Source organism: Homo sapiens, chromosome 18, assembly GCF_000001405.40.
Source record: "Homo sapiens chromosome 18, GRCh38.p14 Primary Assembly".
NCBI lineage: Eukaryota > Metazoa > Chordata > Mammalia > Primates > Hominidae > Homo > Homo sapiens.
Genome location: NC_000018.10, coordinates 25,195,501 through 25,220,042, shown reverse-complemented (window position 1 = coordinate 25,220,042; position 24,542 = coordinate 25,195,501). Strand labels below are relative to the sequence as shown.

Sequence of the window (24,542 nt, the reverse complement as noted above, 5' to 3'; positions counted from 1 at the left end):
GAGCTTGAACGACCACCTTTTACTGACCGCTCTCCAAATAGTGTATCCAAGGGACAGGAGGGGACCTTTGGGAGCTGGTGGGAACACTCTTTATCTTGATGCCTGTGGTGGTTACGTGACTGCATGCATTTATCAGTACTCAGCAGATTTAAAATTGGTTTATTATTTTTATGGGGATTACACCTCAATGAAGCTAATTTTATTTTATTTTATTATTTATTGATTTCAGACAGGGTCTCACTCTATCATTCAGGCTGGAGTACAGTGGTCCAATCATGGCTCACTGCAGCCTTAACCTCCCAGGCTCAGGTGATCTTCCTACCTCAGCCTCCTGGGTAGCTGAGACTACAGGCTCATGCCACCATGCCTGGCTAATTTTTTGTATTTTTGGTAGAGACGAGCTTGCCGTGAGGAGTTCAAGACCAGCTTAGGCTCAAGCAATCCACCTGCCTCAGCCTCCCAAAGTGTTGGGATTACAGGCGTGAGCTAATTTTAAAAAGCAATGATGTCTCCAACTCACATCTTTGCTCTGAGTTTCGGACTCATATAAACAGCTGCCTGCTACACGTATCCACTCACATGTTCCCTTGAACTTCAAACTCAGTGGGTCCCAAATAGAACTCAGCACCTTTTCTCTAAACCTGCATTTTTTCTTATGTTTTCTATTTCACCTGTAGGTCCATCGATCTTCTCAGTCACTTCCTTTCTACTCTGCATCATTTGGTCATCAAGCCATCTTGACTGCAGCTCATATGTACAGTTGACTCTTGAACATTCCAGGAGATAGAGGCACTGACCCCTCACTCGGTCAAAAATCTGCATATAACTTTGACTCCCTCAAAACTTAACTACTAATAGCCTACTTATCGATAACATAAACAGTCAGTTAACACATACTTTGTTAGTTATATGTATTACACACTGTATTCTTACAATAAAGTAAACCAGAGAAAAGAAAATACTAGTAGGAAGTCATAAGGAAGAGAAAAATCTGTCCATTAAGTGGAAGTGGAGCATCACTGAGGCCTTCATCTTCATTGTCTTCAAGTTGCGTAGGCTGCAGAAGAGGAAGAAGAGGAGGGTTTGGTCTTGCCGTCTTGGGGGTGGCAGAGGCAGAAAATACACATATAAGTGGACCTATGCAGTTCAAACCTGTGTTCTTTGAGGGTCAGCTATTTTTCTTTTCTTTTTTTTGAGATGGAGTGTCACTCTTGTTGCCCAGGCTGGAGTGCAATGGCGTGATCTCGGCTCACCACAACCTCTGCCTCTCAGGTTCAAGCGATTCTCCTGCCTCAGCCTCCTGAGTAGCTGGGATTACAGGAATGAACCACCATTCCCGGCTAATTTTTTTTTTTTTTTGTAATTTTTAGTAGAGACGGGTTTTTTTCTCTCAGACAGGGTTTCACTCTGTGGCCCAGGCTTGAGTACAGTGGTGGGATCATGGGTCACTGCAGCCTCAACCTCCTGAGCAATCCTCCTGGCTCAGCCTCCTGAGTATCTGAGACTATACAGGTATGCACCACATGTCCAGCTAATTTTTTTTTTTTTTTTTTTTTTTTTAGTAGGCTCGAGGTCTCATTATGTTGGCCATGCTGGGCTCAAGTGATTCTCCTGCCTTGGTCTCCCAAAGTGCTGGGATTACAGGCGTGAGTCACTGCACCCAGCCAACTGTTTTTCTTGAATCAACTCCTCCCACCATCCCCTTACCACGTTTTAAGTTCAATCTCTGATCTTCTTTTCCTGAGCAACTGAAGCAGCTTCATTTGGTCCTTCTGACTTGAGTCTCATCATTTTCAAATCCATCTCCACACCACTGCCAGAACCATCCATCTAAAACACAAATCTGTCTAGCATGTCCCTTCCTATTTGAAACATTGTAAGTGTTCTGCTCCTCCATCCCCATAGGATGATATAATAATCCTTTTATTGTGAAATACAGGACCCTTCAGGTTTCGGCTTTCCCTTCTTTTCCCTGCCCTCTCCTTGTTCTATAATTGGAAGCACTTTAATTAACCACACATAACATATTGTCTCTGTGTCTTACTGAGGCTGTCCTGTTTCTTCTCCCCAAATAACCTCTCTCCTCTTGACTGTCTTCCACCTTCCAGAAGGCTGTCCAGCTTATCCTTTCTTTGGAGATCAACTATTCTAGAAGGCCGTCTATGAGCCTGACTCTCCATCCCAAGCATCTCCCTATCCCCTCAATGCCCTGTGCAGATAATATGGAGTAAATATCACGTGAAAATTGTTACACTGCTTTGTGATTATCTATTACATTGTCTTTTCCTCTGATTAATTTCCTGGGACAAGAACTTACTCAGTCTCATATTCTTGGTACCTCTGACAGTGCCAGGCCCATATTAGGCAAAGGCCTCACTGCATGGGTATCATGCCATGGAGCTTGAATGTGCCTGGTTGCCCTCCCAAAATATCTTCTTATTTTTGCAGGACAAATGACCACCTAGATTTTTCATCCAGGAAACCTTTGTCTGAAATGTCGTATGTATACCCTAGACTCCTGGTTCTCTCTCCTGAAACGTTTTCCTCTTCCAGACTTCCATCATTTTAGTAAAGGGAACCACTCTACACCCAATTACTCAAGCAAGAAACCTGTGAATCATTCCTCATTCCTCTTTTCTCTCATTCTCCATGTTTAATCCATCAATGAATGCTGTTGATTCCACCTCCAATAAGTATCTTCAAATATCTCATCCACTTCTGTATACCTTCAAAGCCAGAATTTTAGTCTAGGCTGCAATTGTTTCTCGTCTGGATACCGCAGTAGCTTCCTAACAGATCCTCTCCTTCATCTTCTGCCTACTTCCAGTCCATTCTTCATGCTGCAGTTGGAAGCGTAGACCTGTAAATTAAGTGAAGTCACTTAAAATTTTTTCGTGGCTTCCCACTTTCTCAAATGAACCCCAACGCCTCACCAGCTTACAAAGTCATGGGCTCTCTGGCTGTGGCAGGCTATTCTCACTTCCTTCTGGCGACTCTTCCTTCTTAACTCTGCCCAGATCCTGAACATGTGCTGCTTCCCCACTTTATCACCTGAGCTGCTCTTCCCAAACAGCCTGTCTGTTCTGCTGGCTCTTTCTCGTCTGTCAGGTTGGCCTTCCTGAAAACCTTATCAAAGGTGGTCTGCCCTTTAGGATTTTCTTTTAAAAATGTCATTATTTGTTCACTCGGCCGGGCATGATGCCTCATGCCTATAATCCCAGCACTTTGGGAGGCTGAGGTGGGAGGATCATTGAGGCCAGGAGTTTGAGACCAGCCTAGCCAACACAGCAAGATCCTGTCTCTACAGAAATGAAAAATTAATCAGGTGTGGTGGTGCACACCTGTAGTTCTAGCTACTCAGGAGGCTGAAGTGGGAGGATTGCATGAGCCCAGGAGCTCAAGGCTGCAGTGAGCAGTGATAGCATCGTTGTACTCCAGCCTGGGCAACAGAGTGAGACCCTGTATCAAGGAAAAAAGCCCTATTTCGTTCTTCTCCTTTCTCATCTCTGAATGCCCATCAACTTATCATAAGGGCTCAGTAAATGTTAGTTGAATAAATGAATACAGTGTAAGTCCTTCAGAGTAACACAAAATGGTGTATACTTTATTTTCAGTTACATCTAGTTACTAATACATATGGGTATAGGTCATTTAGCCTAAAACTATTTTAAAGTTAGGTTTGATCTAAAAATATTAAAATACAGTAAAAGGTTTGAAGTTTGTAACAATCCAAAGTTCATCTTTAATATGAAGATCTGTTTTAAGTGTCTTAGAATCAATATTTTTTATGGTTTTTGTATGGAAGATGGAAATGTGCATGATGACAATTCAGAGCCTACTCAAGTCCCGGAGTTCTGTTTTGTATTGTTCTGTTCATCAGAATTTCCCTATGAGGCTGAAAAAAACAGGTTGATTAAAAAATATTTTAAAGTTTTCAAATTTCAAATTGCTGATACTAAGTTTTGCTAAGTTAATTATGCAAAGAGCAAAAACTAAATGGGTTAAACTCCCTCTAAAGAGACAGTATTTAAAAAATTAAATAGAAAATTTACAGGACCAAATAAATTGATAAGGTTCAAGGTGTTCTTCAAAGACAGTGAATTGCTCTGCCAAGTCCAATCTGTATTGTTGTTGTTGTATTCAATATTTTTTTGCCATCTACAAAGTAATAGAACAGGGAGTCAACGGCCCTGGCACCAGTACCATGGGTTGGAATGTGGGAGCAGGTGCCTTGCATCCACGCTTTCTACCCAGTTCCGTGATCACCTGATACTGACCATTGCCCCCATTATTGAATTTGCTGCATCTACCATTCCTAGATTTTCTGTACTTACCTCCAGTTCTAGACCTTTTGTTGATATTTTTTATATGGTTACAGTGACTTTTTAGAACTTATGAAATTCAAAAATAGGAATGTTTTTGTATTTCAAATTGCTGATTGCACATAATAACATTTATCCTTTTGGTACTAGGCCAAAGGACTTTGGAATCATCTTGTGTCATCATAGAACTCTGTCTAGGAGAAACATTTCACATTTTTGACTGAGATTTTGTCAAGATGGAGATTAGTAAATATCTAGTCAGGATGATTTTAAATGATGAAAGAAAAGTGAAAGCTATATTCCGGATGTCTGGATCTCTTATTACGGTGTTGCTCTACCTACCACATGATGTAGATGTAGTTTTCTAGTACATGTACTTTGTATTTCTAGAAATTTAGCAGCCTAATTTTAAGAATCTTGCCAAAAGCTTTTAAAAAGCCTGAATAGCTGGTTCCCCTTATTTATACTTTTACAAACCTTTTTATGCTTTTTTATCTTTTAAATGTGCATGTTTCTAAAGGTTCTATTCTTAACCTACTTTTCTATTCTGAAATAGGAATTCCTATTTCCTATTACCTCATTATTATCCCATACAAATAAGCAAAATATGAAGTTTCAATTCTCAACTTCTGTTTAACTCCCAGTCTTAAATTTTCAGCTTCCCTTTTCACATTACCAGTTGAAGCTTCTGCTAGCCCTTTAATCAACTCCAACTATAATTTCATTTTTCTCCCATTTTGGTTAGTGTTTCGTCTTTCGCCTCGTCATTCTGCCTGAAACTTTGTTTCTGTTTCCTATATGTTTCCTGTTCTCCTAACCTGTTAGGGCAGTCACTCCCCAGGAGCCATTGATTATTCTTTTGTAATTTCTCTTCTATCTGCATCTCCTGCATCCTTTCTCCAGGCCAAACTATATTAAATCTCAGCTGGTCTCCTTCACGTGCTTCCTATCATAAAGCTTATCTCAATAAACTTAAAACCTGAGGATCACACAAATCAAGTTCTCTGACTATAATACAAGTAATTTATAAATGAAAAGGATATCTTAAAATCATACATTTTAAAGTTTAAAACATACATTGAACAAAGAAGGCATAATATAGAAATTAAAAATGCTGAAAACTGAAGGATAAATACATTTCAAAAGTTTCGAGATATAACTAAATGCACCACTTAGAGGGATAGTTGTTAGAAAATATACTTTAGAAAATAAGGAAAGCATACTATCACTGAGATATATCAACTTAAGATAAATAGAAAACAAAGAAACAATGAACAACAAGGAGGCCAAGAAAGTGAAAAGTTAGTTTTCTGAAAAGACTGACAGAATTTACAGACTTCTGGTGAGATGAATCAGTAAAAAGAACCAGAGATAAATAATATTAATAATGAAAAGGGGAGCCTTACTTTGTACTCGCAGAAGTTAAAAAGCTAATAGGAGAAACATTACACATATCAAAATAACTATAAAAAGAATGCAATAATTCTTTTTTTGAGAGAATGAGGAGCAAAATGACTTTATTCATGTAAAGTTTAAGAATGGACAAAACTAATCTGTGATGATCAAAGTCAGAGTAGTTACTTCTGGGATCGTGTCAACAGGGAAGGAAAAGCAAGGCGTTACCTGGATGCTGGAAGTGTTTCATATCTTCTCTATGTGTTGGTTATCCTGGTGAGTGATATCTGAAATTTCACCAAGCAGTATACTTAAGATTACTACAGTTTACTATATGTAAAGTTATTTCCCAATTAAAATTTTACAAAAAATGCCAAATGAAGATAAAAGAAGAAAAAATAATACTATGAGTAACTTTATGCTAATGGTAGAGAATTTAAGTTACAGTATATAGAAACCATCTTAGAATAATATGTTACCAAAAATGGCTCAAGAAAAAAAGAGAAGTATAGTGATTCAATAAACATTAAAGAGTTTAATAAATTGTTGAAAATCTTTCCTCCAAAGAAAATATTAGGCTCAGGTGGCTTTCAAAATGAGTCGCCCTAAACATACACATAATTTCAAAACTGTGCAAGAAAATACAAAATGAGAAAATACCTTTGTTCATTTGATGAATCTGATATGATCCTGATATCAAAACCAGACAAAAATACTGAAAAAGAGAAATGTAGGCCACTTTTATTCATGATTTTACATTTTAAAATTTTGAACAAAGTATTAGTAGCTAAATCCATGTATAAAAAAGAGAATACATTATGATTGAAATAGGTTTATCACAAGAATGCAAGGTGGGTTCAATTTCAGGAAATCAATTAATTTAATTGACCACATTAACAGATTAAAAGAGATAAATTATATTTTTATCTCAAAAGTCAATGGAAAAACTGTATTTAACATATTTTCATGATCAAAAAAGAACACTAAACTAAGAATAGGTGGGAATTCCCTTACCCTAATAAAAACTTTTTAAAATATTATCTTAAGCAAGCATTATAAATAATAGTTACATATAACCATTATTTTATTATATAGTTATATATTTTATAATATAATTATAATGTAACTATAATATTATCATTATAATATATGTTATAATGTAACTATATTATTATACTGACAATGTAATTTGCAGGGAAATTTTAACTAATATTTTATAACTAAAATTACTATTAAGGCATGCTGGGTGATGTAGCCTGTAAGCTAAGATAAAATCAAAATGAATTTGAGTATTAGAAAAAAGTAGCACAAAAATTGAAAATATACAGATTATAATGTCATATACAGGTAATATATTTGCATGTAAAACGACACCCAAAGAATCTAAAGACAAATTATTACAATAAAACTTTAGCAAAGTTGCTGGGTACCAAATCAACACATTTAAGTCAACTGGATTTTTATTCACTAGCAAAACCCAGAAAATACACATTTTAAAATAATCCTACTTATGATAGGGAGAAAAAAATAGGTACTTAGAAATCAATCTTACAAAATATATAAGACATTTATGGAAAAAATGATAAAACATTACTGAAATATTTTAAAAGACTTGAATAAATGATCAGATATAACTTGTTCGTGGAAGTTATAGGAAGACTCAATACTGTAAGTCTGTCAGTTATCTCTAAATTGATCTATAGATTTAGTGCTATTCCAATGAAAATTTCAACAGGTTTTAAAATATATGTTTCTATACATATATATATATATATATATATATATATTTTTTTTTTTTTTTTTTTTTTTTTTTTTTGAGACTAAGTCTCACTCTTTTGCCCAGGCTGGAGTGAAGTGGCATGATCTTGGCTCACCACAACGTCCACCTACCGGGTTCAAGTGATTCTCCTGCCTCAGCCTCCCAAGTAGCTGAGACTACAGGTGTGCGCCACCATGCCCAGCTGATTTTTGTATTTTTAGTAGAGACAGGGTTTCACTATGTTGGCCAGGCTGGTCTCGAACTGCTGACCTTGTGATCTGCCCACCTTGGCCTCCCAAAGTGCTAGGATTACAGGCGTGAGCCACCATGCCCGGCCATTAAAATATTTTTTATATATTTTTATATTTTGGAACTTGATAAGCAGTTTCCAAAACATGTATAGAAGAATGAAAAGTCACATGACAAAGATATTCTTGAAGAAAAAGAATAGGCAGAGAAAATATTTGTCCCATTTTCTAGTCAATTTATAATAAATCTGCAGTGATTAGGATTATGCAGTGTTAGTCCACAGAACCACACAGAGATTTCTCCAAAAAGGATATTACATGTATAAAATTCAGTGTAGAATAGAACTGCCTTTGCACATTAGTGGGGAAATGGATAAACTGTTCAACTCATTATCTATATGGAATAAAATAAAATTGAATCTCTACTGACATGTATAAAAATTAGTGGTTTAAAGACAGATGTGTGAAAGGCAAAACCATAAACCTTTTAGTAAAATAAAAGAATATTTTTATCACTTTCTATAAGGGAATTATTTTGTAAACAAGCCCACACAATATAAATCACAAATAAAATATGTTCAGCAACGTTAAAAATAATTTATGTTTACCAAACATCATATAGGGAGTGAAAACAAAAGCTACAGGTTTATAAAACAAATTTATAACACATAACTAGAAAAATGAATAGTTTCCAAAACTATGTAAGAAACAGCTAGAAACTGATGGAAAAACGCAAACTGCCATATAGGAAAATGGGAAATTGACATGAACAGAATTTCACAAATAGGAAGCATGAAGGTCCAGTGAACATGTGAAAATATTTATTCTCATTATTAATATAGAAAATGCAAATTTAGAGAAAGAGTAACGGATTGTCTGGGAGGGCTGCATAGGAGGCTGTGCAGGAGTCCAGGTATACAGGTGTTTAACAGTTAACTCTTTATACATTACCTATGTTATCAATGCTCTATAAGCATTTAATCTTTAACATAAAAACAAAAAACTCCCAAAACTCAGAACCCTAAGTATATAATCAGTATCATTCACCATAAATAGAAGAATGAATACAAAATGATATTCTAAAATTTCTAGCCATATATTCTAACCCACAAAAGGCTCTGAGCCTGAAACCTGTTCATTACTACAAGTTTATTAAGTGTTGTAGAGGTATTAAAGACATATTAGCATCTCAGTTAATCTTTTTTCTCTTGTTATTGTGATTAGAGCAGTATCCATGTATTACACTTTAATGGGTATATATCTCACACTTTGGGGAATATTAGCATTTAGCATGAACTTTTTTATTCCTCATCTGGTACTTCAATTTGTGATAACAGATTTATTAATTCCTGCCATGCACAAGGCATTAGCTATCAGGTTTGTAAAGAGGAGAAGCTTTATACAAATATGGTTATTTGGATACATGTCTTTCTCCTCTGTGTATGTCTGGCAAGCTTATGTGAGAACAGGGAGACAGTATGCCTGGAGCAGAGTGAGCAGAGGACAGAGTCGTGGGAGAGAAGGTCAGAGAGCTGGAGAGAGGGGCAGAGGCTGGGCTTTGGCTTGGTAGCCTCCGTGGGTCCCCGGTTAGTTACTTGTATGCCATAGGTTCTTTGTAAACACTTGTAAATAATTGAAGCCTGGTAATTAAAATATTTGGAAAATGAAGCAAAGAAGGAAGCATTTCTCTAAAAACTAAATAATAGTACAGGTTCTCAGAGCCACACATGAATAGAACATTAGACACCTCGTAAGTATGTGATATACTATGCACTTCATGTCATAAAGAGATTGAGTGGCAGGCGAAGTCCTATAAAAATCCCCATATCAAGGCAAATAATTTATTTTATTGAATTAAACATTGTATTACATAAGCAAACCTTTAACTGAGTCTGTAAATTTTTTGTTATAGGGAGATTGCTGCTGTGGGCATGGGGAGTTTAAGGATATGCAGCATAGTATAGTAGAAGGAAAGATTGTCCTTAGGGAAAAAAAATGAGTTCATGTAACAGTTGACAGGGTCATCTATGTGATCTCAGCCAGTCCTTCCTAAGCTTCAGTTTCCTTGTTGCTAAAATGGGCATTCAACATACTTTACCCTCTTTATAAGGTATCATGAAAAGCAGATGGCATAGTCTATGAAAATTCTTGCTAAACATGAAGCACACTACCAATGTCATATGTGATAAATCATTTATATAGTATGTAATCTACACATACCCCTATTATGTATGTATTATGTATACATATATTTATATAATTTTTTCAATTTGTTATTATAATGTAGAATTATTTCATCTAATGCTAGAACTATAGCTTATTCAGTCAAAGTGCATCTAAATGAGGAATCATATTTCCACAAAGTTGATGAAGTGGAAAAAACATAGTTTAGTCTTAAAATCAAACTTAAAGGCAATGAAAATCAGGGAGCAAAAAGAATGTAAAGACCACAGAAATAAAATGTTACTTTATTTGAGGTCAGAGATAGTGTCAGGTAGCAATACATATAAAAGGTAGAAACGCATATAAATAAATGAGCATATAGGTGACAAATATAATCACAGTTAAGAAAGGAAAAATGCTCAATAGTATTATTGGATTGCAAGGGAGTTAACAACATCTTGGAGAAATAACATTTAAGTCAAGTAAAAATTGGACATGAAAGGTTTAGTAAGTGAATACCAAAATCAGGATTTCTACCCTCTAATCCTAGGAAACAAATGAGTAGCTTGAGAAGCAGTTCGTTTGAAAGGGCTATTACTTGCCCAAAATCCACCGACGATGCCCTGTATGAATCACATACACAGTATTTACATACTGGGGGGAAAACGTAGTAAAAATTGTCTCTCTTTTTGGCCACGATTTGTAATTTAGATGTATAACCTCTTTATTTTAAGAATAGAAACTTGGCCGGGCGCCATGGCTCATGCCTGTAATCCTAGCACATTGGGAGGCCGAGGTGGGTAGATCATGAGCCTGGCCAATATGGTGAAACCCTGTCTCTACTAAAAATACAAAAATTAGCCAGGTGTGGTGGCGCGCGCCTGTAGTCCCAGCTACTCAGGAGGCTGAGGCAGAAGAATCGCTTGAACCTAGGAGATGGAGGTTGCAGTGAGCCAAGATCGCGCCACTGCACTCCAGCCTGGGTGACAGAGCGAGATGCTGTCTCAAAAAAAAAAGAAAAAATAGAAACTTATATTTTAAAAATTACTACTAAGTAAGCAATTGAGAGATATTTCAACACAAAGATACGCCATGATTTAGAAGTCGAGTGGCATCGTTAAATCTAACTTGACAAAGTCTGCTGTTAACATATTCATTTTAAGATAGATCTAAGGATTATCTTCGAAATTTTACATTTAAGTTCGGCTTAGGCAGTAGGAAGCAAAAATAAGCTGTATTAAAAGCTATTGATACAGTCCAAGCAACGTAGCAAGACCTCGTCTCTACTGAAAATTTAAAGAAATTTAATGGGTTCAGTGGTGTGTGGCATGTGCCAGCAGTTCAGCTACTCAGGAGGCTGAGGTGGGTGTGGGGAATAAATGAATGAATGAACTAAACTCAAATTAATCTAAACAGTGTAACAAGTTGGTTTTAAATGTTTTAAATTTGGCATAACAAAATAATATTGCAAAAGCTATTGATAAATATCTAGAAATTGATAATTATAAGCAGTGACCACATGTTTGATAAAGGTCATTTTTTTCAAAAAAGAGAAAGTAAGAGGAGGAACAGAAAAAAGGAAAAAAAGAAAAGTGGGTTTAAGGGAGGGAGGGAAGGAAAACTAAACGACCAGGTAAAGTAGCTGAAAAACTGGCAGGAAACCCCCTAAGCTTAAAATCTGTACTTACTAAAACTGGAGAATTAAGATAGTTTTGATGGAAAACAGATTCTTTTAGCACCATAATTGTTTCTAGATTGATATTATTTTGTTATACAAAATTTAAAATGCTGTTTAGATTGAGTCTAGTTCATTCATTCATTTATTCAACAATTAATTGAGTTTCAAATGTGTGGCAAGCATTGTTCATAGACGTTGGGCACAAAAGGCAAACATAGTTGTTGCTTCATGTTTCTCTCAGTAAAGAATTAAACCTATAAAAAGCAAATATATCTTCAAATAGTGATTCCTATGTATATTAAGACTGTGAAGAGCTGGCAGGATTAGAAGTAGGACTATGTTTAAATGTCTAGTAAGGCTATTCAACAGTGATATTGCAACATGTCTTTTAAAAGAATGACTGATTTGTCACCTGGATTTCTAAAGAAAATTAAAAAAAAATCACGGTGCTTTCCTTGCAAGATGTCAAATTTGATATTATCCTTTTCTTAACACTTCTCACCTTTCATATTATATACTGTGGTAGAATGTTCTCAAGGAGCAGAAGCTTGGTTGGGAAAGGGCCCCCTATTTTTCCAGATTATATTCTTAGACTTTTTTTATTTGGAGAATTTCTAGCTTTATGCAATATATTATCAGTAATGATTATGCAGAACTTTTTCAGTGCTGCAGTTTAATCTTTCTGGGATGACCTGAAGGGGAACTAAGAGGTTATACCTGGTTGTATGATGCAGAATCTAGGTGTGTTTGATAACAGCAATCTGGTTCCCTCCATCATGATATTCTGAAAACGTTTACTTTTAGGTGTACATATAAAAAGCTCACATCAGTTCACTTCTGTGTAGTTCATGCACCCTTTCACAAATGCTCTCTGTCAGGCAGTGTGCTGGGTGTGAGAGCTTAAGAGAAAACTAAGACGTTACTACTTAAGTGACAGGAAACCTTTGAATATAATATGCACATTCTATGCGCTGAAAGTGTACACTGGGAAATGAAAACCCTCCAAGAAGGCAGCGGTTAGTAGCAAGAACTGGCGATGGAGAGGCGGTGCTGGAGAGTCGGTCCTGGAGTCCTGTGCCCCGAGGAGCCCCGATGAGTTGCAAGCATCACAGATAGCCAAGATGGCAATAATAGCAGCTCCTTTTTGTAAATGAGCCGCCACACCATGTACATGTGGATGTTTTCATGGCAGTCTGGGGTCCTAGGCTTGCTAGGTTGGTCACTTTCTGTGAGTCATGGGCAAGGTCAGTCCATCTCTCTGGATCTGTTTCATTGTCTGTGAGGAAATTTGAAATAGATGAACTTACTTGTCCGTTTCAATCCTAAAACTCCACAATACCCTATATAAGCTTGGCTATTACCTTTGGAAATGCAGAGAATATGGGGGCATTTTTTTTCCTATTTTTCAAAAAGATATTTTCGGGATAATGAATGGGGAAGGTTTTGAAAAATCTAGATAATTTTAGTTAAATCAAGGGGTTAAAAGAACCCTACCACTTGCACATTTGTATACATTGTAATTGCACAGCATGTTCTAGAATAGGTAAAGTGAAAGAAACACACCTCTGTCCTAAAAAATTTACTAAGAGTACAAACAACAGGAATAATAAAGTCAGCACCCACAGCATTGTGTGGGTGTAATTGCTAGCAAGCTTTCTGAAGCAGGTGGGTTTTAGAAGTGATTTGAAGGAGAAGAGAAGGGTGGTCTGACATGCCTCAGTAGGAAAGCTGTTCAAGTGGAATGGATGGATGAGAAAATGCAAACCCAGAATAAGAATATGGAGAAAGAGAGAAACAAAGTAAGAACTGCTAAGAGAAAGGGGGACATGCATTAAAATATCTCAGCGGAGATAAAAGTTATAAAGAACAAAGGTAATTTGGGCACATACATGGATAAATGAAATGATCTAGTATAAGACAAACCACATTTTGTAGGTAAGACACAAAAACTACCAGAACACGAGGTATTTCTTTGACAGAAGACTAGCTGGAAGGATACATTAGAGATATAAACAAAAGAGAATGACTAGGACTCCACAGGAGCCTTCATCTAAAGAGAAGTAGAAGGAAGCAAAGATTTTTATTGCACAGTGAACAGGTATGAGTCATTTACATATTAATTTGTTATGTGTAACTAATTATGTATTGCAGTAGATACAAAATGGGCCGGGCGCGGTGGCTCTGGCTTACACCTGTAATCCCAGCACTTTGAGAGGCCAAAGTGGGCGGATCACTTGAGGCCAGGAGTTCGAGACCAGCCTGGCCAACATAGCAAAACCCCATCTCTACTAAAAATACAAAAAAAAATTAGCTGGGCGAGGTAGCTCATGCCTGTAGTCTTAGCTACTCGGGAGGCTGAGGCAGGAGACTTGTTTAAGCCCAGGAGGTGGAGGTTGCAGTGAGCCGAGATCGTGCCATTGCACTCCAGCCTGTGTGACAGAGCGAGACTCTGTCTCAAAAAAACAAAAAAACAAACAAATTAAAAAAAAATGAATAAGACAGAGCCTTCTACCTAGCCTTAAAGAGCTTATAGCTGTTCAGGATCAGTTTTATTGAAATAATTCTGATACAACATGTAAACGAATTATAAGAGAATTTTTTAAATGAGATAAAAAATTTGTCTGTTTTATCCTTTTGAAATTTGTGATGACTTTTTATTAAATGATATCAAGTACTCATAAAATGAACCAATCTAATTTGTTTTAGGACAGAAACCATATACTTAGGAAAGTATTTCTTAATGGATTCTAAAATACTTTATTCTCCCTAATAATTTTTTTCCTAGTTTATGGTGGGATTATAAGTTATACTACCACTCTTCTGGATGGGGTCTCTCTGGGCATGTGATGTGATTTGATGGTGATGCAGTGTGCTTACATACTGTCGCTACTCCTTCACCTCTCCAATTGTCCATCCTTGATATCTACCAGCCGTAGCTCCTTATTTTGGTAACAGTGAAACAGAAAGAAGTTTCAATACTTTTTAATGAAAACAATCAGATGATCAGAATAATTGATGAGGAAAATAGGCCCTAATTTTGTGTAACCCCAAATTTTGACTTCTCTTTTCCTTCTCAGGTTTGTTTCTGAAAGAGTGATTATTTAAACCCATATTTTCCCACCTTCAATTTCTTACCTTTCTTGAATGACATGAACATTTATAAAACAGTCAATGTAAGAAGTTAACTAGAATTTACTATGAATTATAAATGTCTTCAAATAGGAACTAACAAAATAGTATAGCCATGAGTAGCAAGAGACAAATTCCTTTTCCTAGCTCAAAAATAATTAGCACATGCTCTGGTAATTTTTTTTTTTTTTTTTTTTTTTTTTTTTTACCTTCACTACGGCATCAATTTAGTCTGTTATTCATCCTCTTCCAATTCACTGATTTCTGGTGCTGTGTAAGGGGGTAGGCAGTTTTGCAAGCAGAAATAGACCAGTCTTAGGTAAGTACCTTATGAATGAAGGTGATGGATTTAGAATGACTCATTAGATTGTCCATTCAACAGTCAGTAAACAAAATGTATTGACTGCCTACTCTGTGGAAAACACTATGGGAGATTTTATTCAGGTAGATTTTTTATGGCATAGAAATAAACAGCAACTGAAACCATAACATTAAATGAGATGATCTAGATGAAGATACCTTATTTGGAAGGTCTCAGTGGACTGTGTAGGGAGGGACATGAGTTGGTCCCTTGGAAGAGACTCCAAAATGTGAAGGAGGAGAGTAAGCCTAATAAAGCATCTCTCTCCATGGGAAACTTGGGCACAGTTTTTTCAGTGTTTAATGTGAGACATCAATGAGTTCAAGTGTGTAGAAAGACAAATTTTGAAGAAAATTTGTTAGGAGACAATTTTGAACTTAAAAAAGATTATTTGTTGTTCTTTATTAATTTTAAACTTAAAGTAAACATTATTCTTAGAAATAAAATGACTCTTTATTCCTAAACTTCAAGGTAGTAAATTCCTTCCATGAGACATGTTTGGTATGATCCATGGAAATGACTCCATCTTTAACACTGAGTTTTGCTTTTAATGCATACCTGTCAGATTTTTCTGAAGACTCCACTCAATTATTTCCTGGTTTTTGACTATTGGGGATACCTTTGAAAATAAAATATTTTAATACTATTTTATCTAATATTTAAAGAGAATTCAATAAAACATTTTAAAAATGGCTCAACTTTTTTACTCAATTATAAATGTAGTAGTAGCTTAAATTTATATCTTCATGGAGTTTAGGGTTTTATTTGTAAAAATAAATGTATTAGATCATTCTTGCATTGCTATAAAGAAATACTTGAGACTGGGTAATTTATAAAGAAAAGTGGCTTAATTGGCTCACAGTTCTGCAGTGCTACCACCTGCTCCACTTCTTGGGAAGTCTCACGGAGCTTTTACTCTTGCAGGAGGGAAAGCAGGAGCAAGCATCTCCCATGGGAAGAACGGGAGCAATAGAGAGTGGCGGGGAGGTGCCACACACTTTTAAGTGACCGCATCTCGTGAGAACTCACTCACTGTCGCAGAGACAGAACCAAGCTTTGAGAGATCCACCTCCATGACCCAAATACCTCCCACCAGGGGCCACTTTCAGCATTGGGAATCACAATTCAACATGAGCTTTGGTTGTATCAATAAATATACTTCATATACTTAAATAAATATTTTTTCTCCCTGGTACTATAAAAATTGCAACTCAGTCATTTAAAACAAGTATCTATAGGTTTTTTCTTTTCTCTTCCTTTTCTTGTCTAGTCAGTTGGCCAGAAGCAATCTTCTAATTTAGCCCTGGCTCTCTTCTGAATTGTCTTTCTATTTCCCACCATCTGTAAGCAACTGGGCTGGCATGTAGTAGATGGGGTCTCACTCAGTCTGTCCCCCAGGCTGGAGTGCAATGGCATGGTCACAGCTCACTGCAGCCTCAAACTCCTGAGCTCAAGTGATTCTCCTGACTCAGTCTCCCAAGTAGCTAGAAATACAGGCACAAACCACCACACCTGACTAATTTTTTAATATTTTGTGGAGATGGGGTCTTGCTACCTTGCCCAGACTAGTCTTGAACTCCTGGATTCAAGTGATCCTCTCACCTCTGCCTCCCAAAATGCTGGAGTTATAGGCATGAGCCACCACACCAGGCCTTGTAACAGTTTCAAACTCAAGAAAATTATTCCCATTTTAGACCTCAGATCACGTCCTATCTCTCCCAGAGAGTTTTTTCTAACTCTTCCAGACCATATTAATCTGTCACTCTCTGACATGTTCTGTCTTCTCTTTGCAATACACCAAAATAGGCACTTGGTTCTGAACTGCTTTGCCATGTCATTTAGGCAAAATACTTAAAACACTTTAATGTTTGTGTGTTTTATTTCCCCAATCACATTGTAATGCCTTGAGTTTAGGGATCACGGTTAATATCTCTTGGTTGTTGAGGTGTTGCCATGTGCCAGGCATGATGTAAAGTGTTACATGGATTTTTTATCAGGACATTCACCACCACTGTAAGACAATAGCATCCTTTTAACTGTCACAAGAATACAAATTAGAATATTGATACATTTGTTTTTCAATGAATTATTTGGGCTTTTCATCATTAGTGGCTTTCATTACATTTCAATAACCATTTTTTTCTTCTTTCTTCAGTGACTTATTTTCATACAAATTCAGAATTACTTAGAAAATGACTAGGCTAAATTAGTAGAATGTCTGAGTTATTGAGCATTTGTGGAAAGCTGCTGGCTTATTACTTTCACTCACATGTAGTATCCATTTGCTTGCCAACAAAATACTGGTGCTACTGCTCTTAAATATATATTGCATTTGCGATTAATATATTCATTCTTGGGATGGTAATGTATATTGCTATAGTCCTTGAAAACAGCTTTTTCCTCCTAGCTAACTTAAACCTTTTTACACATTCTTAACCGCTTCTCTCTTCCCATTCACCCAACCTTGTCACCAACTTGTGATTTTATTTGTGTTATTAGTCGTCTCTTGGTATCCATGGGGGATTGGTTCCGGGATGCCCTGCGGATGCTGAAGTTCTTTATAAAAACATGTACATGCTCTCATATACTTTAAATGATCTCTAGATTACTTGTGATACTGAATATAATATAAGCGCTATGTAAATAGCTGTCATAATGTATTGGTTTTTTATTTGATTATTCTTATGGTATTGTAGTATTATTTTTTATTTTTTCAAATTTTTCAACCAGAGGTTGATTGCAGATGCGAAATCCACAAATATGGAGGGCCAACTAATTTTTAAAGCTATATTTAATAAACATTTGTTTAACCCTTGTTAATTGTCATGAAATTTAAATTAGTGGATTCGAGTTGAAAGAAATTTTAATGTGGTTCCAAAGTTCACTTAAAAGGGTGAAAACTACTCACCTTTGACAACAGACAGTTTATATCATATTTTATTCCATCCCCATAATAACCTGTCAAATAAAGAGTAATACAGGCAGTAAATAGTACCTTTAGTAAATAAGTAAGCATTAAAAATTACTGTTTAGTGCAGGTGTGCTACGTGGTAGGCATGGTACCAAGCACTTTTATATAATTCTCACTTACTTTTCATATCGACTCTAAGATGTAGGTTTTATTATTTTTTCATTTGCAGAGAAGGAAACTCAGGGTCATTTAATGATTTGTCACACAACTAACTATACAGCAAGTTAGTATTACAGAAAGAAAATCTAGAGATTCTCTCCTACTAAGACTGCTGGATATATTTGGAATGAGTACTTTACAGCATCATTGTACAACATCCTGATTTCAGGGTTGTGACCAAATCTGACACTCGTCCTTCCTTAAAAGCCTTGAAATAGAGGGAGCTGAGAGCTATGGGACATCCTGGAAAAATGGCTCTGTAACTTTGGCTTTGATGTTCCAAACATATAGCAATGATTGATAAAATATAAAGATAGAAAAACAAATGGACTTAGTCAAGTCCAAAACAGTTCTTCGTCTTTGAGATCCAGAAACCAAATAAGAAAACCACATGGTTATTAAGGCTAAAGCCAGGGGTCTGCTGAACATTTTCCAGCAATAGAAAGTGGTAATTAGGGTTTAATCCCTATGGAACAAATCCAGATCCACTATTTGAAGCAGGGCCTGGGAGGAAATTTCTTGTTCACAGCAAGAGACTGGGAAAAAGTAATTCTGTTGACCACTACCAGGAACTAGGATTTTTACCTGGAGGATTGAAGGAGTAGGAAGGAAGACACGGTTTTGTGACATAAAACTGAATTACCCATGTGTTGCCTCTGTGATTTACCTTGCAATGTCTCTCTATCCCTGCAGCACAGCAGATAGGCAGCAAATGCCCCTCTGAGACCCAGCTCTGGTACAGTAGCCTGGGATGCCCTAGTAGAACCAATGGCGAAACTACTAGAAAGGGAGAAATGAGCACATAGAAAAAAAAAAAATCACTACAAATGGGCTTTCAACCAAGATTCCAAAGTATGTGAATGAATCAAACACTAGTAAAGCAGAAAAAAAAGAAGAAAATAATTATTTTGAACAGTCTGACAAAGACTTTGAAATAAGCATGTTTAGAAGCTCAGAAAGATAAATGAAGATATGATTTCCACTGAAAAGAGTGACAAATTATGAAGCAAATCCAAGCAGAAGTAAAACAAAAGCACTTGAACGTTTAAAACTAGAAATGTTGGAAATGAAAAATAGTCATTTTAAATAAAAGCTTTGCTAGATAGGATAAACTCTAGACTGGTCAGCTGTGAAGAGAGAATCAGTGTTTTGTAAGAGTACAGAGAAGATGATCTAGATTAGAACATAAGAAGACAAATAGATTCTTAAAATATGAATGAAAGGGCAGTTAAAATACATGGAGGATAGACTGAGAGGCTCCAATCTGTGTCTAATAAGGATTCTGATAGAAGTGAATGGAGAGTGTCTTAGATAGACTTAATAACTGAGTGATTTTAATCACTGAAAATTTTAAGAATTGAGTACATAAGTGAGATCTCAAATTGAAATTATTATTTTTGTATTGAGCAAGACAAATACACGTAAAGGTACAGTTTGAAACATGGCCAAAAAAAAAAAGAAAACTGCAGAACACTGAGGACAAAGGGAAAATCTTGAAATAGACTAAAGGAATTAAGAGCCAATTCTATCCTATGAATCTTAGTCAAGAGTCTGGGACTGGGAGCCTAAGGCTAACGTGGCTACCGACAGTTCCTTCGCTCTCGTAAGTTACTTTTCCTACCATTCCTGGCATTGTCAAAGACCAAAGCACTACTTAATTATATGGAAAACCTCCTTTTGAAATGCACCTAAAATGTAATTGTAAATTTACCTGCAAATGACCAGAATATAAACTGTGTTAAAATCCAGTGTGTGAAAGACAGTAGAATCCTGGCTTGGTTATACCTGTATGACTTTAGCCAAGTCACTTAATTAATCTATAAATGAGGATAATAATCCCTCCTTTATCTACTCTTAACAGGACTGTTTCAAGGGATTTTTTTTTTACATACAAGTTCTTTATAGACTAAAGTATGAAACAGTTTATAAAATTATGTGAGCTATGGTTCCTGACTTCTTAGAGTTTATATATTAGATTTATGTAAAAAACAAAAACAAAAACTTCACAAACAAATACCAAAATGTTTGCAAAGCTACTTAAAACAACTAAGCACAAATTATTTTTGGTGCATATCAAGTGAAGGAGTCTAAAGTGAATAGTGGAGATGGGGTTAATCAGGTTAGGTTGAGCTTCTAAAAACTACATGTTATGAATTATCCTGTTCATTTTTTCCAGTTTTTATGAAAATGTTCATGTATACACCTAGATTTTATGATGGTTAACATGTAGCCATTTACTTATATATGATTATATATGTTTTTTTCTTGAAACTTTTGAAAGTAAATTGCAAATATTTCATCCCTAAATACTCAGTATGCATCTCCTACCAAAAAGAATGTTTACCCACATGACCCCAATACCATTATCACATCTAAAAAAGGTAACAATAACATCCCGATAGCATCTAATAATCAGCTGATAGTCAGATTGATATCTAAATTATTCTCAATTGCCTCAAAAGCCTTCTTATAGCTGTTTCCACCCCCTCCCCCCAAATCAGGATCCACACATTACATTTGCTCAAGTCTTTTTCAGTCTCTTTCATCTGTTCACTTTTTTTTTCCCATGACAATAGGCCATTTCTTTTGAAGAATATTCTGGATTTGAGGGTTTTTTTTCCCCCTCATAGTAATAGTTGTTCCTCTTTTCAAAGACAACAGGCCATTTCTCTGAAAGAATATTCTAGATTTGCATTTTTTTCTCATAGTAATATTTGTTCCCCTATGCCTGTATTTACTGAAAACTGGATTGTTAGGCCTAAAGACTTAATTAGATTCAAGTACACATTTTAGATAAGATACTATATTGGTGATGTATACTTCATATTGCAACTCATTAAGAGGTACACAATGTCACGTCATTTCCATTCTTAGTGATATTAAGCTAAATAGTCTGGTTAGAGTAATTACCATCAGCTAAATGTAAAGATATATCTTTTGCTTTGCAATGATCAAAGGATGGAATTTGAGTATCTCAGAATAACCTGTCTTCTACTAGTTTCAGCATCCATTAATGATTATCCTGAACCATTTTATTTGGCATTGCAAAATGGTGAATATCTAATTTTGTCATCCCTTCTGCTGTCATTCTTCTATAAAGAAAAGCTTTCACTCATCAAATAGGCACGACCTACACTTCCTCCTTAAAAAAGCAAGGTGCTTCTGACCCTTTCATTGCCAATTTTCAGAAAAAGAAATTGATGTAATAGTCACCTCACATGGTAACAACTTAATTTTTTTTCTTTTCTGTTTTTGAGGATTACTATGCACTGATTTTTTTTAATCTATTCAGTATTTTGGTAAAAGAAATCAAAGCAGTTTGATTTCTACAAAGTATAAGTTTTAATAATTATTATTTTAAATTACTTTTTAAAATTTGGTAAGACTAAATGTGAAGTCTGAGTCCTAATGGATGGAATGGAGGGGAATAGGGTTAATCAGAATAATTTTTTAAAACTATATATTATTAAGCATCTCTAATCATTTTTTTAATTTATGAGATGTTCTTTTTAAAAAGTCTCTGAGTACCTTAACCAGAGTGTAACTGAAAACAAGAATGTCAAAAAGGCACATTTAAATTGTTCTCAAAATCAATCAAAAATAATGAGGTGCTAGGAAAAAGTTGTATCCTTGATAATTACATCTATCAGTATCAGAAAACAAAAGAGAACAATCAGGAAATGACAATCCCACTCCCAAGTAGCACATTTAAAAAGGCTAATGAAAAAAAAAGTCTCTTTTAAAAATGTACTAAATTAGCATTTCAAGTAAATTGACAACTTAAGCGTTGATAAAGGCCAATCTGGGGCCCAAACAATGGAAGTTCTGTTTCTACTTTTATCTGCTTTTAAAAGAAATTATCTCACTTGACTTTTTTTGTTGTCTTTTATATAAATGTAAGTAATTGTCCTAAGGGAGATGACAATCCTCATGTACTCTGCAAGGGTCAGATCATACCTGGAGTATGGCACTTCATTTGGGGTTCTATTTCTTAAAACATTGACCTGGAGATAGGTAACCAGGAAGGGAGGTAATTCCAAGTATTTCTTACATTGTGCCCCTATGTTCAGTCTGAAAAGGGGCTAATGTAATTGTCATATTAGACAATGGATTCAACCTCTTCTTTGTAGCACCAGAGCTTAGAGTTAGGGCCAATGGGTGAAAGTGGCAGAAAAACAGATTTGGGTCTAGAATTAGGAAGAATTCTCTCATAATTTTAGCCACACAGAGGTGGAATAAATTTACCTCCAAGGGAATGAGTTCCCCAAGGCTGACACTGTTCAGAGGTTATAATCCCTTTACTTAAAGATGGTGTACAGGTGTGCAGGGATCTCTCAAATATTTTGCGAATAATCTATAATTATAATGAGATATGCTTTAAAGGTCATTTAACATCAACGTTTTAAAAATTAAGGGTAAAAATGAATTTTACATCATGGCTTTAAAAAGAAAACCCTTAACACATCCCAATTTGCATATCATTGCTTTGTATTTGGGAAATGTGAAAAATATGGTGAAGTAGAGTTCAAGCTTCAGTATTTTAAAATCACGGTTCATTGTTTTTGATCACAGTAAATTCTTATCTAGCCGTAACTTTAGGAGCTTATAGATAAGAATATGGCTTTGTTAATAAAAAATATAACATAGTATTTTAGACACTGTTTTATGAGTGGAGAGAATTAATGTTTGAATTATCAGTAGTGGCAAAAGCATTTTCATTCAATGATAAAAGAAAACTTACATGTGTCAGTTCATTTTGAAGATAGTAGTAAGTGCTGGCATTTTATTATTTTGGCTTTTCAAGTGATTTTATTCTTTATTATTAGACTGGGGAAAAAAAAGCCCTAGTATATTCTGCCAACATATTCATCAGTCATCATTTTTGGAGACAGTTTTCGACATATTGTATGTTTTACTGTGCTAACAAGAGAAAAGACTAGCCATTAAGTTTATGTTTCTTTGTTTTTCAGCAAGGTCACATATCAGGAATAATGCTAGAAGTATGCTAATAAACAATATATAATGTAGGTCATCAGGGAGTAAGAAATATTTTCTAACTAGTTCTAAAGGGAAATAGTGTTAAAAAAGGGATAGATGTTACTTACGTAACACATGTTGCTCTATATGTCACCATCAAAAGCATCTTGTAAACAGCTCGGTGTAGTCAATCTTCCTTGGTGATTGTCAGGGTGTTTGAAGTCCGTGTTAGATTTAGATTCAGCACATTCAGTTCGCAATATGCCTAATGTACAAAGACCGTCAGATGATTTAGACAGCTTCCAATGGAAATATGCCTGTACTTCCGTAGTTTACAAGGAATATTGGCCACTGTTGCAGAAGAAAATATTATGTTAAATTACAATAATTAGGAAAAATTTATATTAATGGCATTTATAATTTTAAATCTTGAATTATGCTAAATGTTTGTGCTTAACTTTGGTTTTGTTCAGTTCTAAAGAACTTCAGTTCCTTAAAATTGATTGTAACTTACAGGCTGGTATTTCCTTATTAATACCATCAGTAAAACAATTTTATATGATTTCAAATGAAACGATAATTCTGTAAAAAACGCTTATAAGAAAATGTCATTTATGTGATTTTACAAATGTAATTTTCTCATGTTTGGGAAATTTTAAAAATGGATTATTTTCATAATGGTTTATTTTGTCTTCCAACATGGTTTTTAATTACAAATATTAAGTTTCATCAAAAAGGAATTTATGTAAGTATGTGTTCTGGAAAACACAGCTAATACTCTATTTATTGAGTTCATCTAATAGGTACTGGGACTCAGTAATAAAGATGTAAAATTATAATGGCTGCTTTATGATTCAGAAATCAGAGAGCCTACTAGCATTTAGAATCAAAAGTATTTCTCTTCCCAGCTGTACAGCACCATGACATCAGGCAAATCTTTCTATTTCTCTGGACCTCAGTTTCTTCATTTATGCTATAAGAATTATAATAAAAATCTTGCTCTACTTCACAGGGCTGTTGTGTAAAATGATAAAATAGTGTTAGAATGTTCATTATGATATTATTTCTTTATAGGATGAGGTACATATTTAAATACTAATGCTTAGCAACTTCTAAAACATCATTTAAATTGTAGACTTTAGCCAAAAATTATATCTCTAAATATTTTAGCTAGCATCCATGAATCTTAACTTATTAGCCGTATTACTTATGGATATCTAGAAGCAACACCCCAGTTATGTTGGTCAGAATGAAATTGTGCCTGATCTTCAAAGACACTGGTTTCTGAAACTCTGTAGATTTTTTTTTAATACGCATGTTTTTTTAAACTGTATTTCTGTAATACTTCTGGTTTTAAAAACCTTCTGTTTTTGAGTTTAG

The 24,542-nt window shown here is 35.3% G+C and overlaps 1 protein-coding gene and 1 long non-coding RNA gene across 10 annotated transcripts in view, besides 1 other annotated feature; one reads left to right on the top strand and one right to left on the bottom strand.

Moving 5' to 3' along the window:
* Positions 1 to 24,542, top strand: part of ZNF521 (zinc finger protein 521) — a 290,243-nt gene that overhangs the window by 132,124 nt on the left and 133,577 nt on the right. The gene's annotated exons all lie outside the window — the stretch shown is intronic.
* Positions 10,166 to 23,404, bottom strand: LOC124904270 (uncharacterized). The gene is made up of 2 exons (XR_007066318.1): positions 23,291 to 23,404; positions 10,166 to 12,841 (listed from the first exon to the last, which is right to left on the bottom strand). It is a non-coding gene; the product is annotated as an uncharacterized LOC124904270 (long non-coding RNA).
* Positions 23,292 to 23,492: a silencer, noted in NCBI's record as "peak3078 fragment used in MPRA reporter construct". NCBI's record gives its function as "represses an SCP1 promoter by STARR-seq MPRAs in K562 erythroleukemia cells {active_cell/tissue: K562}" and the evidence as "EXISTENCE:reporter gene assay evidence [ECO:0000049][PMID:32103011]".